The 14,134-nt window shown below is 39.1% G+C and overlaps 1 protein-coding gene and 1 pseudogene across 11 annotated transcripts in view; both read right to left on the minus strand.

Annotated features, from left to right (window-relative positions):
- The window catches only part of DNAH7 (dynein axonemal heavy chain 7), a 331,135-nt gene that overhangs the window by 251,379 nt on the left and 65,622 nt on the right, over nucleotides 1-14,134 (minus strand). For all 11 annotated transcript variants that reach the window (XR_922968.4, XM_011511488.4, XM_017004504.3 and 8 more), the window contains 2 exons: nucleotides 12,594-12,777; nucleotides 11,623-11,802 (listed from right to left, as the gene is read on the minus strand). Coding sequence is in view for 10 of the 11 variants with exons in the window: in XM_011511488.4 (XP_011509790.1) it covers nucleotides 11,623-11,802; nucleotides 12,594-12,777 (364 nt within the window). In the remaining variant the exon portion in view is untranslated. The remainder of the gene's footprint in view (nucleotides 1-11,622; nucleotides 11,803-12,593; nucleotides 12,778-14,134) is intronic.
- On the minus strand, nucleotides 1,918-6,613 carry E2F3P2 (E2F transcription factor 3 pseudogene 2; annotated as a pseudogene).

The following is a 14,134-nucleotide window of genomic DNA, read 5'->3' on the forward strand; positions in this document are numbered from 1 at the left end:
AACCACTGATGGACACTTAAGTCAATTCCATATCTTGGTTATTATGAATAGTGCTGTAATAAACATGGGAGTGCAAATAGCTCTTCAACATACTGATTTCCTTTCCTTTAGCATATATACCCAATAGTGGGATTGCTGTATCATATGGTTGTACTACCTGCAATTTTTTGAGGAACCTCCTTACTGTTTTCTATATTGGCTGCACTCATTTACATTCCCACCAACAGTGTGTAGGGGTTCCCTTTTCTCTACATCCTTGTCAACACATCATCTTTTGTCTTTTCAAGAACAGCTATTCTAACTAGAGTGAGGTGACATCTCATTGTGGTTTCTATTTGTATTTCTCTGATAATTAGAGATGTAGAACATTTTTTAGTATACCTGTTGGCCATCTATTTGTATATCTTCTTGTGATAAATGTCTTGTCAGGTTTTCCATCAATAATAGGATTATTTCTGGTTTTGCTATTGAGTTCCTTTTATATTCTGAATATTAACCTCTTGTCAGACATTGATATAGTTTGAATATATGTCCCTGCCAAATCTCATGTTGAATTGTAATCCCCAGTGTTGCAGGTAGGGCCTGGTGGGAGGTGTCTGGGTCATGGGGGTGGATTCCTCATGGTTTGGTTCTGCCCTTGCCATAGCAAACAAGTTCTCATGAGATCTGGTCATTTAAAAGTGTGTGGTAACTCCCCACTCCAGTCTCTCCTGCTCCTGCTCCTGCCACGTGAGACACCTGTTCCCTCTTCACTTTCCATCATGTCTGTAAGCTTCCTGAGGCCTCCCCAGAAGCAGATGCAAGCATTATGCTTACTGTACAGCTTGCAGCATCATAAGCCAATTAAACCTCTTTTTTAAATAAATTATCCAGTCTCAGGTATCTCTTTATAGCGATACAAGAATGACCTGTCACAGATGTACAGTTTGCAAATTTTTTATCCCATTATGTGGGCTCTTTATTCACTGCCTCCTTTGTGCAGAAGCTTTTTAGTTTGATGTAATCCCATTTGTCAATTTTTATTTTTGTTGCCTGTGTTTTTGAGGTCTTATCCAAAAAATCCTTGTCCAGATCAATGTCATAAAGCATTTGCCCTATATTTTCTTCTAGCAGTTTCACAGTTTTGGGTGTTACATTTAAATCTTTAATCCGCTTTGAGGTGATTTTTATATGGTGAGAGACAGGGGTCTAGTTTGATTTTTCTGTATGTGGATATCCAATTTTTCTGGCACCATTTATTAAAGAGACTATCCCTTTCCCAATGTATGCTCTTGGTGCCTTTGTCAAAAATTAGTTACTGGCTGGACATGGTGGCTCACACCTGTAATCCCAGCACTTCGGGAGGCCAAGGCAGGCAGATCACTTGAGCCCAGGAGCTCAAGACCAGCCTGAGCAATATGGCAAAACCCCATCTCTACAAAAAACACAAAAAATTAGTGATAGTGTACATCTGTAGTCCCAGCTACTCCAAGGGCACTGAGGTGAGAGAATCACCTGAGCCCAGGAGGTCAAGGCTGCAGCGAGCCATGATCATGCCACTGCACTCCAACCTAGGCGACAGAGTAAGACCCTGTCTCGAAAAAAAAAGTTATTGTAGAAGTGTGGATTTATTTCTAGGTTATCTATGCCATTCCATTGGTCTATGTGTTTGTTTTTATGCCAGTACCATGATGTTTAGGTTACTATAGCTTTGTTGTGTGTGTGTGTGTGTGTGTGTGTGTGTGTGTGTGTATATATATATACTTAAATATATATACATATATATACTTAAATATATATACATATATACTTAAATATATACATATATACTTATATACATATATATACTTAAATATATATACATATATATACTTAAATATATATACATATATATACTTAAATATATATACATATATATATATATATGCTTAAGTGTTTAAAATCATTTTATTGATACTTTACCATACGACATTTTTTCAAATTACACCCATTTGAGGTGATTAGATCACAGCTAGGGAACAGGTCACCCTGTAACAAATCTATTTACAAAATTCATCATAAAAGCTTTTTTCTGGCTGTTTTTTACATTACATTACATATTTTCTTTTTTAAGCTAGCATACAACACAAAGCTAAACTGACTCATAGTTTGCCTACTCCCAATTTTGGGAGAAATATTTCCTTTCTACCAAATCATGTACCCTGTAGGAAAATAAATTCCCACATGCTGACAATTGCCACCCAACTTTCTCTGCAAGGAATCTTCCTTCAAATCCCTCCTTCTCATACAGATAAGTTGTCATGCACACAGTGAATTCTTACTTTCTTTTTCCTGAAAGCTTAAGCTTTAAATACTGCAATTTTATTTACAGATCTATACATAAACAAAAGTGAAAACAAGAACCACAACAAAAATAAAACAAAACAAAATAACACTTTTAAAAAATTACAAAACAGCTAGAAAATATTCTGGCAGTGTTTACAAATTAGTTGCTATTTTTGTACAAAATTGCTAAATAATAAAAATGTGAGCAAACTACATATCAACTTCAATAAAACAACTGCTATGCAGAACCCTGTACATATAAACACACACCTAACACTGTCATGCTAATGTGTTGCCCTTTATTCATTTTATTTTCTAAGGCTCATGCAGTCATAATTCGCACACTTGTAACTTTCAGCCATACAATATGTGAGCTTTAATAGCAGCAACCAATGGTACCAGGAAACCTGCATACTTAGAACTTAAAGTAATGCAAAAACTGGTACTTACTAACTCACTTTGTGGGCTCAGATACTAAGTCAAAAAGAAAATGACGATGCAAGAATACAGTATGGACATCTAATTAATGTACATCAGTTAAGCCCAGCAACCGGAAAAATCTTATGCATGAAGAAACTTTTAAGATTTACTAGGATTCCTTTAGTTTTTAAAACAATAAATACAGCATTACCTTACAAAAAGTTTCAACAAAACACACAACAACCTAGCCAGGTGAGTTGTCTTTAGATGTTGCAAAAAATCAGCTTTGTGCAGCTGGCAAAGATAATTACACAAAGCTGAAAGTAGAGGCAGCTAACCAGATGAGATAGATATGGGAAACAGGGAAAAGCTTGGCATAAATGGTTTCCCATACAGGAAAAAAAACCTCAGTGCATTTCTAGTAGACAACACAAAGCTCCCTCTCCCTCCTCCACCCCAATGCTTCCTCTCGGACCACACTGATGTTTTGTACTAAGTCTAGTGTGTGTGAAGGGAGGAGACCACAGGTGGAAGCTGAAGAAGAAAAAGGCAGATAGTCTTCACCTTTGTTTTTTTCCCAAACTTACACCCATGCACACCCACACAAAGAGTTTAAAGCACTAGTGTCATCTGTCTTGACCCCACAACCACTTTGCATATTGTAGAAATCTTCCTGCAGTAAACTGGCTGGGGCTTTTGTGTTTTTTTGTTTGTTTGTTTTTATTTCCTAAGGGATATTTTCAATTCAATTAAACATGTATGAGTTGAGTGCCTACTGTGTGCCTGCCACTGGGTCAGGCACATAGCATTTCAATTTAACTGTTCATTTTGAGGTTTGTTCTTTATCTGACTCCCTCATTCCCACAGTCCTTAGTATCCAAAAAATGGATTGAAGGTACTATGCCATATTCCCAGTGGGAGATGGCCATTGCCTCCTGCCAATGGGAAAGCTATTCTTCAACGTAACTGGTAGGATTTGCAGCTGACACAAACCCTCCAACTTGGGACGCCATTCCTGAAGAGTAAAGCGGGAAATGCCCTGGCATTCTTCTGCTCCATGTTCTACATCCTGGCTTTCCTTGGTCCAACTCATTCCTTCATAGAGGAAGGGGAACAGGGTCTAGCCAGAATGATTCCAGCCTCTGACACAGTGGGAGCCCCCTGTTCCTGCCAGCTTAAGAAAATGCCACTCACACAATGGGAATGTCTTTCTCCCTAGAGGCCTCTCCACCTGACCCCATCCTGAGAAGTGGTCTCCGAGTGCAGCGTTAACAGTCCTTTCCCAGTAACAGAGGTGTGGGAAGCACAAGGATTAAGGGATCCATGCCTGCTGCTCCTTGGGACTGTTACATCATTTGACCTGGTTCTCCTTTCCAATGGGTCACTCCTGTCAGCAAGCCCCAGGACTGACTTGCTCCAAGCTGGGAGTGGAAGCAAGATGGGACAATGCTTCTTGCAGAGCCTGATAAACCTCAGATCACACAGGTTTAGATGTTCTAATCAGGAGAGGTTCTGTCCCTCTGCTTATGTAATGTGAATTTGTAAAATTTCCTTCAAAGTAAGCAATTAAATTGAAATGGTGATGAATGTCACAGGAATACATAAATGGCAGCTAAAAAAAATACAAAAAGTCTAAAATAATCCACAAAGAACTAAGTAGGCATTTACTACAAATCAACTGGAAAGTCACAAACATGTGGGGGATAGGGGAGTGGGCACAGTTTATGGAGATAGAAAAATCCACAACAGCTTAGAGTGGCAGAACTCTACTAGTCTTCTGTAACTGCAACAAGTATATTTGAAAACAGGTTCTTCATCCTAAAGGCTATGGAGCTTTTAAGGGTTTTGAGGAAGTTTTGTGTCCCCTCCTTCTGGGACACAGAGTCCAGAGCTTAAATTGAATTTAAATATTTCTAAGAAGAACTGAAGTCCATTTCATACTTTTGCATGACTTCAAGTTTGCATTTGCGGCAGTTCCATTCCATATTAGCATACCCCAAAGGCATACATTCTGTGGAGAAGGCAGAGATTGAAATGCTATTAAGGAAGATCATTGTTTACCAGTGGGTCAGGTGGCCAGACCCCATTCTACAGCCCATCTGTCAGCCACAGCAAGCCAATCCGGGAAGAAGGAATGGAGGAAGAAAAAGTTAGAGTGAGAAACACCTGATTGCATATTTTTTCATTTCCTGACTTATCCAGGAGATCATGGAGCCTGGAGAAAAGCAGGGTTTTCCCAAGGGAGCCTGCAACTGTGCATTTAGACAAGTTGTTTATTTTTTTAAATTCATTAAAATGTCAGCTTTCTTCTGAAGTCTGTAGTTTACTTCATGATAATTTCTTGGAGGAAGAAAGTAGGAAGGGACCACACTGCATGACAGATGTTCTGGTCCCATGATAAAAAATTATTGATTTGTAAGGAGAATGCACATGAAGCATAATCAACCATACCTGAAGTCTTCCACCAGTGGAAGCTTTTCCAAATCATCAGCATCAAAGATATCACTGATGCCTTCCTCCTCCCCAAGGCTCAGGAGACAGTCCTCTTGCAGCAGGGGAGGCAGTAAGTTTACAAATGGTCCTTCTAGGTTAGAAGGAATTTGGTCCTCAGTCTGCTGTAAAAAGTTGGCTGGGGAGGCCAAGGGAGAAAGGTTTGCCATAGAAATTGACCAATCGCCATGTCCTGTGTTGGTTGAATCCAAGTCGTTGGAATTGGGTTTAGAGATATTCCCATTGTGGTCTTGGTTGTTTGTTTTCACTGGATTGTGTGTTTCCATCTCTTCCGGACAGGAGTAAACCTCAATTGGTCCTTGGGTACTTGCCAAATGTATCTGTAGGCTCTCTATTGAGTAAAGTGCTTCAAGTCTTGTTTCTGGAGGGGCTTTCACAACTTATAACCATTTGGTCTTTAAGACCACTAAGTTTTCAAATATCTTGATACGTAACATAAGCTAACCTTTGATTCTCTGAATCTGCGGTTAATAGTTTGAGGTCCAGGGTATAGCTTTGGATCAGTTCATCTAATTTTTTCTCTTCCTGACTGAGCTTGGTTGCTTCTTTTGACAGGCCTTGACATTGGGCCAGCATGTCCTCATCCTCAGACAGACTGTAGCCCACTGGATGTTTTCCTTCTTCCTTTTCTTTAGACAGAGTCTTGCTCTGTTGCCAGGCTGGAGTGCAGTGGCGCAATCTCGGCTCACTGCAACCTCCACCTCCTGGGTTCAAGCGATTCTCCTGCCTCAGCCTCCCGAGCAGCTGGGACTACAGGCACACACCACCATGCCCAGCTAATTTTTGTATTTTTAGTAGAGACAGGGTTTCACCATGTTGGCCAGGATGGTCTTGATCTCTTGACCTCGTGACCTGCCCACCTTGGCCTCCCAAAGTGCTGGGATTACAGGCATGAGCCAAAATGCCCGGCTATTTTTAGACTTCTTAATGAGGGAGATGCTTTGAATGTTGGTGATATCATAAGTCCTTCTCTTTTGTACTTTTAGCAGTTTTTCTGCCTTGTTCAAATCCAAGACCCCATGGAGAGACTGGCTCAGGAGCTGAATGAACTTCTTGGTGAGCACACCAAGGGATGTATCATATGGCGTTTTTCTGAGGGAGATTTTTGGAGTTTTAGGACTATCTGGACTTCATAGAGCAGCTCTTCTTTTGCCCTCAGGGGTTTTGAAACCATCTGAGAGGTACTGTGAGCGCCTTTCCTAGCTCTAGGCTTCACTTTGCCTGCTGCTGTAAGGGCATTTCCGAAACCAACCTGGCTCAGCAGGGGAAGATGGGAGGCCAGCTAGAGAGGGGACCCGGAGGGCCAAACAGACCAGTGGTGTGGGGGTGAAGGCGGGCACCAGTGGGGGACTAGGGAGAGAAGATAAAGGGTGGTGGTGCTGGGCAGATGCGAGGGCGCTGGGACTGTCCCAGGCCAGGAAGCCTGTGTGCAAGAGGAAGTGGTTCCCTAACTCTCCAGCAACCCCTGCTGCCTCCTGCTTTGTAGTCTATTTCCAAGTAAGGTAATGTGATGCCTCCAACTTTGTTCTTTTTGCTCAAGATTGCTTTGGCTATTCAGGGTCTTTTGTGATTTCATATGAATTTTAAGATTCTTTTTTCTGCTTCTGGGAAGAATGTCATTGGTATTTTGATAGAGATTGCATTAAATCTGGAGATCACTTTGGGTAGTATGGACATTTTAACATAGTTAATTCTTCCCATTTATGAACACAGAAAAATCCACACTTTGTGCAATCATATATGCTAGCTTTATAAGGCAGTGCTTGCACTGTTCACTGTTGACAGAAAATACACTAGAGTGCAATGTCATATCATCATAATCTTTAAACACAATACTTTTTCACGTTGAGGAGAAATCTATCTAGATCAAAGAAAGACTACTTATTCACTGACCTTTGATCTTTGATTCTGTGAACAGCAACCAGAGCAGACTAAAATCCTTAGCTGCAAAATTTGCATTCTGCTCTCAGGATTATAATAATTGTAGGCAAGAATGGACCAGACAACAATTTTAAATAAGCAAACAAATCTTAACAGTTTATCTCCTTTTCTTTCCATTTTAGAGGACAAGTAAATATGCCCACATGGTTTATTACCTGAACCAACTTAATCTTTTTTTTTTTTTTTGAGACAGAGTCTCATTCTGTTGCCCAGGCTGAAGTGCAGTGGCATGATCTCAGCTCACTGCAACCTCTGCCTCCTGGGTTCAAGTGATTCTCCTGCCTCAGCCTCCTGAGTACCTGGGATTACAGGTGCCCACCACCATGCCCGGCTGATTTTTGTAGTTTTAGTACAGACAGGGTTTCACCATGTTGGCCAGGCTGATCTCAAACTCCTGACCTCAGGTTATCCACCCGCCTCGCCCTCCCAAAGTGCTGGGATTACAGGCATGAGCCACCATGCCCGTCCCCAACTTACTCTTAAATATACATATGCTCTACCTGTTGCCCAGATTTTATCTATATTGTAACAAAACAAAATCATGTCTGCAGTGGACATTCTACAACATTCAAATTGATAGTATCAAAGGATTCCTTAGGCAACTGGGTAATTTTCTCAGTTATCCATGGGGCATTTGCCTACTATTCCCCCAGTGGGCATTTCAGGAAATCATCTTGCTTAGAACTAGGTACTTCATGAGAACATTAGTGAATCCCACCACTGTTTCCCACCTGGGCTCATTAGATGCTTGGTATCATCTTTTTGGAAAACAGAAATTTTTAAGATAAAGCAATCTATATGATGTACTGTGTGCAATGTAAAATTACTTGATCTCATGTGAAGCTAATATTCACTATAGATTGTTTCTTAAATTTATTAATAGCCTATCTAATTTGTAAAGCCTATAGGTTTACCTTTCTAAGCAGAATCGGATACTACGACTTCAAAACTATATTAGAAAGTATAATTTTGGGGCCACGCATGGTGGCTCATGCCTGTAATCCCAGCACTTTGGGAGGCCGAGGCAGGCAGATCATGAGGTCAAGAGATCCGGACCCATCCTGGCCAACCTGGTGAAACCCCGTCTCTACTAAAAATACAAAAATTAGCTGGGCATGGTGGCGCACACCAGTAGTCCCAGCTACTCGCGGGGAGGCTGAGGCAGGAGAATCGCGTGAACCCAGGAGGCAGAGCTTCCAGTGAGCCGAGATCACATCACCGCACTCCAGCCTGGGTGACAGAGCAAGATGGAGTCATTCATTTTGATATGAATTTAATCATCTCCTAATTAACAGTTATGAGAAATGATATTTTGTATGAGACACCTCCAGATGTTCTAAAGCATATCACATTAAATCAGGAGATAGTGATATGCTTGGACTCATGGTGCGTTAACCCATTGCAGGTTTACCTTCCATGAAAAAAAAAAGTGTATTTTAGTTCACTTTCAATTTCTACCAAAGGTTGTGTTAAGAAACAGCTATATAAATTCCATTTCTGCAATTGTTGTCAAAGATCACTGAGATCATGTTCAATTATCCTATTCATGATACCCTACATATCACTTGTAGGGCATCATCTAGGCATATTTTACCAGTACTGATTTCTGAGTACTGACTCCATCTTTATGAATCTGTATCTCTGGGGCAAGGGACAATGGTGAGTGGTGATGGTGATCCCTGGAATTTGGATCGTTCGTATACCAAACCTTAATGACAGGCAATTTACTCATGTAACGAACTTACACAAGTACCTTTGAACCTAAAATAAAAGTTGAAAAACAAAATGTGTTACCAGATGATGATAATCCATACGGTTTCAGAACCATTACCCATGAATGATGCCAACTGTAGGCTTTATCTCTCAAAATTTGATACCATGAAAAACATCTCTCTTCCTGAGAAGTTTCAATTAACTGTTCTAATCATAATTAAAATTTGTCATACTTTCCTTTAGAAACCAGGAAGCTTGGGGCCATATTTTATAACTGTAACACTATAGCAACTGCATTCCTTTTGATAATTATAAAAGTTATGGCTGGGTGCGGTGGCTCATGCCTATAATCCCAGCACTTTGGGAGGCAGAGGTGGGCGGATCACGAGGTCAGGAAGATCGAGACCATCTTGGCTAAGACGTTGAAACCCCATCTCTACTAAAAATACAAAAAATAGCCACGCATGGTGGCGGGTGCCTGTAGTCCCAGCTACTCAGAAGGCTGAGCAGCAGGAGAATGGTGTGAACCAAGGAGGCAGAGCCAAGATAGCACCACTGCACTCCAGCCTGTGTAACAGAGCGAGACTCCAACTCAAAAAAAAAAAAAAAAAAGTTACTTTTCTTCACTTGACCTTTGTCTACTAATTCTTTTCTTACTAACTTGTTAAATTTGTCTTGTTTCATAAGTTACGTCAAATCATTCTTGAAAAAGTCAGGGTACAAACAGAATAGAAAAGAATGCAATAGATGAACTAGAATTACACAAAAGACAAAGTAAGCAGTATGTTTCTTGAGAGACTTCTATTCATGGTAGTATGAGGAATAGATATCCAGAAAACAACTACTCAATTCAAAACACATAAATATGCCAGGATAATAAAGCTGACTTTATCTTTTATAACGTATAGCTAAGGAAATAACAACAAAAAAAAAAGTCTAAGGGACCAAAATGAGAGAAAGCATGAGTTGAAAGGTCATTATGTGCAGAAGTGAGCAGCTGCCCTGGGGACCCTGCTGATCCTTGGTGGTCTAAGCTTTGCTTTAATGAGTTTCCGGCAAGGTGGATGCATGGGAGGGGCTGCCAGGAAACAAAGCCTCAAGGTCGAGCAAAGTTGGAAGTCATAATTGGCATCTCCATGTAAAGCCAAGAACACTGAAGGGTGACACAATCTTAAAATGAGAGTTCTGAGGAGACGAAACTTCAGAATGCTGAAAGGTGACAGACCTTTGAATATGAGAAAAGTAAAAATGTCCTGGTTTTGCTTTGTTTCTCTGTAGAGGAAAAAAACAAAAGATGGTTGCCTTAAGAATTTGTAACCACAAGTCTATTTTCACACAGATTTGAGTGAATATTCGCACAACCAGTATTGTCTTTGAAATCATTAAGCAAGAATTCAGCTAAAAATGGTCCTTGGTCTGCAAGGGTCTGGGGAGCACCTGTCACAAGAATATGGAAACTCCAAAGGAATCAACTTAAACCAAGTCCTCAAAGACTTTTTTCATAAACTTCTTACAAGCCTAAGTATAATAATAAAGGAAAAATACCCAGAGAAATATACCACCAGGAGCAGGAGTCAGCAAACAGCAGAATCAGATCAGCAAAAACTGTGGATATTGGTAGTATCGCATACAGAGTATTAAAAATATTTAATCTGTGTAAAGAGAAGTAAAAGCTTAATGAAAACATGACTAAGTATAAAAGACTATCAAAAACGACTAGGCCTATTTGAAAAGAACCTAATGGAATTCCTGAAAAATAAAAATAGAATAAAAAATTGGAAACTCAATGAAAAGGATATCCTCAAAATGGATAATTTCATATAATGTTAAGTGAAATAAGCAAAACACCAATTACTTATAAGATGCTTCCACTTATACAAAGACATGGAAAAACTAAACATAAATTGTTTAGTAATAAACAGACAAGTAGTAAGCCTATTTTTCAAAATTAAGAACAAAAGCTCAAAACTTCAAGATAGTGATTCTTTTGCTAGAAGGTGGAGAGATAAGGATGTAAACAAGAAGGAGCAAAGGGGAAGAGCTTAAAGGTACCAGCAATATTCTATCCCTCAAGATGGGCTGTGCCAATTTAGGTGTTAACTTTATTACTACTGAAGCCTTTACACACTAGTTTCCTGCACTCTTCTGTATACAGCAAATATGTATAAGTTATTTTAAAAATACAAAAATAAGGAGAAAGCTTCTGATTGGACTTACAAAACTAGAAAACATTGTAAGTTGAAGAATTTTCAGACATGCTCATTTCATATACTAGATTCCAATAACTACTGTGGAAATGTCATAGATTAGATCTATGAGTTGAAAGTATAAAGGAGCTCACTATTACGGAAAAAGGTATATGAGGGGAGTAATAAACTCGAGGACAGTTTTACAGAGCTGGAAAAGCATAAAGAGACCTACAGCATGGCATGAGTTTACAGGAAATGGTAGGAGAGCTACAGTAAACACTCATTGGCTGCTTCAAACCTGATCACAACTTTAATTCCTTCTCCTCAGAAAGTTTTTAGCTAAGTCCAAAGGAAGACTAAACTAGGAAAGTAGGTATATTTTGAGAGGCCATTTGGAAAATGGTAGTTTTTTAGGAAAACTTTCTTATAAGCCAACATTATTATATTCTGTGAAGCAGAGGATACCTGCCTTCAACTTTCAGAAGTTACTTGAAGTGAATGTCATTATGCAAATTCAAGCAATCTTAATATCCTTGTTACTTACCCACTTGGAATACAATTTTGTCTCAACTCTTGGCACAAAACTGACAGCTTTAATCATGACGTCATAAACATTTAGAAAGATATCTATATAGTCACTCAACTCAGGTTCAAACTTAATGGTGTCATTATCAAGAATCAGCCTCATGATGAAACCTGGATGTTCAAAAGCTCTAACAGAATCCTGCAAAAAATTAAAAAATTTACATACATAAATATGTATGAATTGTGACAGACTAAGTAGTACACCAGTCCCAATTAGAATACATGGGAACCCACACTTTCTCTTATGACCCAGACAGCTAAGCCAAGGAGGAGCTCTAATAAAAAGAGCAAGAGTGATTCTGAGCTACAGTTGATGATATCCAGTATCCATTGGGACTACAGGTCAACTACAGGGTCAAAGTCCCAGAAAAACAAGCGTACATAGCAGTGGAGTTCTAGAATCATACAAGATAGAGCCCAAGAGAAGAACACTCCAATTCCAAGGCCCTGCTCACACTGCAACAGGACCTCCTTCCAGAAACAGAAATGGTTCTTCTTTGCTAAAGTTACCTCATGGTAACTTTCTCCAGCCTTCATGACCCAAATTTCCCAATTATGTGAATTTTCACTAATCTTATCTCTAGTCATGACAATCATATATCCTAAATATGCAGGTTGACATTAACTCTTTTTTTTTTGAGACAGGGTCTCGCTCTGTTGTCCAGGCTGGAGTGCAATGGCACAATCTTGGCTCGCTGCAGCCTCAAACTCCTGGACGCAAGTGCTCCTCTCACCTCAGCCTCTTGAGTAGTGGGGACTACAGACATGTGCCACCATGCCTGGCTGACAATTTTTTCTTTTAAGATAAGTGTAATAGGTCTAAAGATGTACTTTCTGCCCTCTCACTGATAGAGATGTTATTTTCCTCTCTGAAATAATTAAAAATAAATAAATTTGTAAATACATATTGGTGAACTGAACCATACTTACTGGGGGTTGTGCAATTAAGTCCGTGAAATCTTGCATGGAGACTAAAGTGAGGTCCTGCAGCTGTAAAGTCATAAGTGCAGCAGCACAGTTGAAAAAAGATTCCAATTTGGCACTGCTGTCACCAGTTGGCAATTGCTTTTTTTTATTACCTTGGTAATAAATATTCTGCACTTCTGGAAACCACCTTGAAAGAACAAAAGACTTTTAAAAGTCAGTGCTTTCAGTGAATTACTCCTTTTATATTAAGCATTAACACTAATTTCTGGACATCTAAAGGTCTTCATAGAGAAGTATATTGCTAAATGATATTACCCACTCTCCGAAATGTAAGTGTTAAAATATGTCACTTCTAGGAAAAGAAATTTTAAATCTTAGCCAATAGAAAATTACTCAGTGATGTGATGCTGTGAGAAAGACATAATTCTAACTCCTGGAACTATGGCTCCTGACTTTTTAAAGAAATATAGAACTAACTTTACTGGATATTACAAAATACTCCTCTCCAATCTCCTAAATATTATCTAGGGAATATATTTGTTAGTTTAAAGTTAAAATGTGAATAACTGATTAACCAAGGGAGGGCTTATACCATGTTCAATACACTTGGTTGTTTCATGCTATTCTATCTGTTTACAGTTACTTGAAAACAATTTACAAATCAACAAAATCAGGTATTTATTTTCTCATTCCCCTTAATGTGATATCCTGAAAGAGTGTCTGATCTAAAACAAAGTTTCGAATGTGTATGTGTCCTTGTAATAAAAGGATTACAGTGTAATTTCATATATAGGTACATAATGATGATAATAAGCAAAGTTTTCAACTTATAAAACCACTCTCCAACACTACAGAATTTTAAAATACTGTTATCTTTTTTTATAAGAGATAATGAATTTTTTAAATAGTCAATATAATTTCAGGAGTTTCCTGAATGTTCCAAGAGAGAAAATCTAAATTTGAAATATATTTATTCATCCCTTTAACAAATATGTGTTAAGTGTCTACTACATACTAGGAACAGTGTTGTAGAAGATATAAAAAATATGGTATCGGCTGGGTGCAGTGGCTCACACCTGTAGTCTCACCACTTTGGGAGGCCAAGGTGGGTGGATCACCTGAGGTCAGGAGTTCAAGACCAGCCTGGCCAACATGGTGAAACCCCATCTCTACTAAAAATACAAAAATTAGCTGGGTGTGGTGGTGAGTGCCTGTAATCCCAGCTACTCGGGAGGCTGAGGAAAGAGAATTGCTTGAACCTGGGAAGCAGAAGTTGCAGTGAGCCGAGATGGTTCCATTCCACTCCAGCCTGGGTGACGAGAGTGAAACTCCGTCTCAAAAAGAAAAAAAAAAAAGATGGTATCATCATTTCTCTCATAATAATAAAGGCAATGTGTCATAAAAGAAAAAAAAATCTGAAATAAAAGGATAGATATAATTTTCCATTTAAATAATGAAGAAGGGTTTCATAGTGAAGATGGCAATTTCACCAAAAAAAAAAAAAAGATGGAAAAGAGAATGAGGAAGGCCCTGAGAGAAAGATT

This window comes from Homo sapiens, chromosome 2, assembly GCF_000001405.40.
Source record: "Homo sapiens chromosome 2, GRCh38.p14 Primary Assembly".
NCBI lineage: Eukaryota > Metazoa > Chordata > Mammalia > Primates > Hominidae > Homo > Homo sapiens.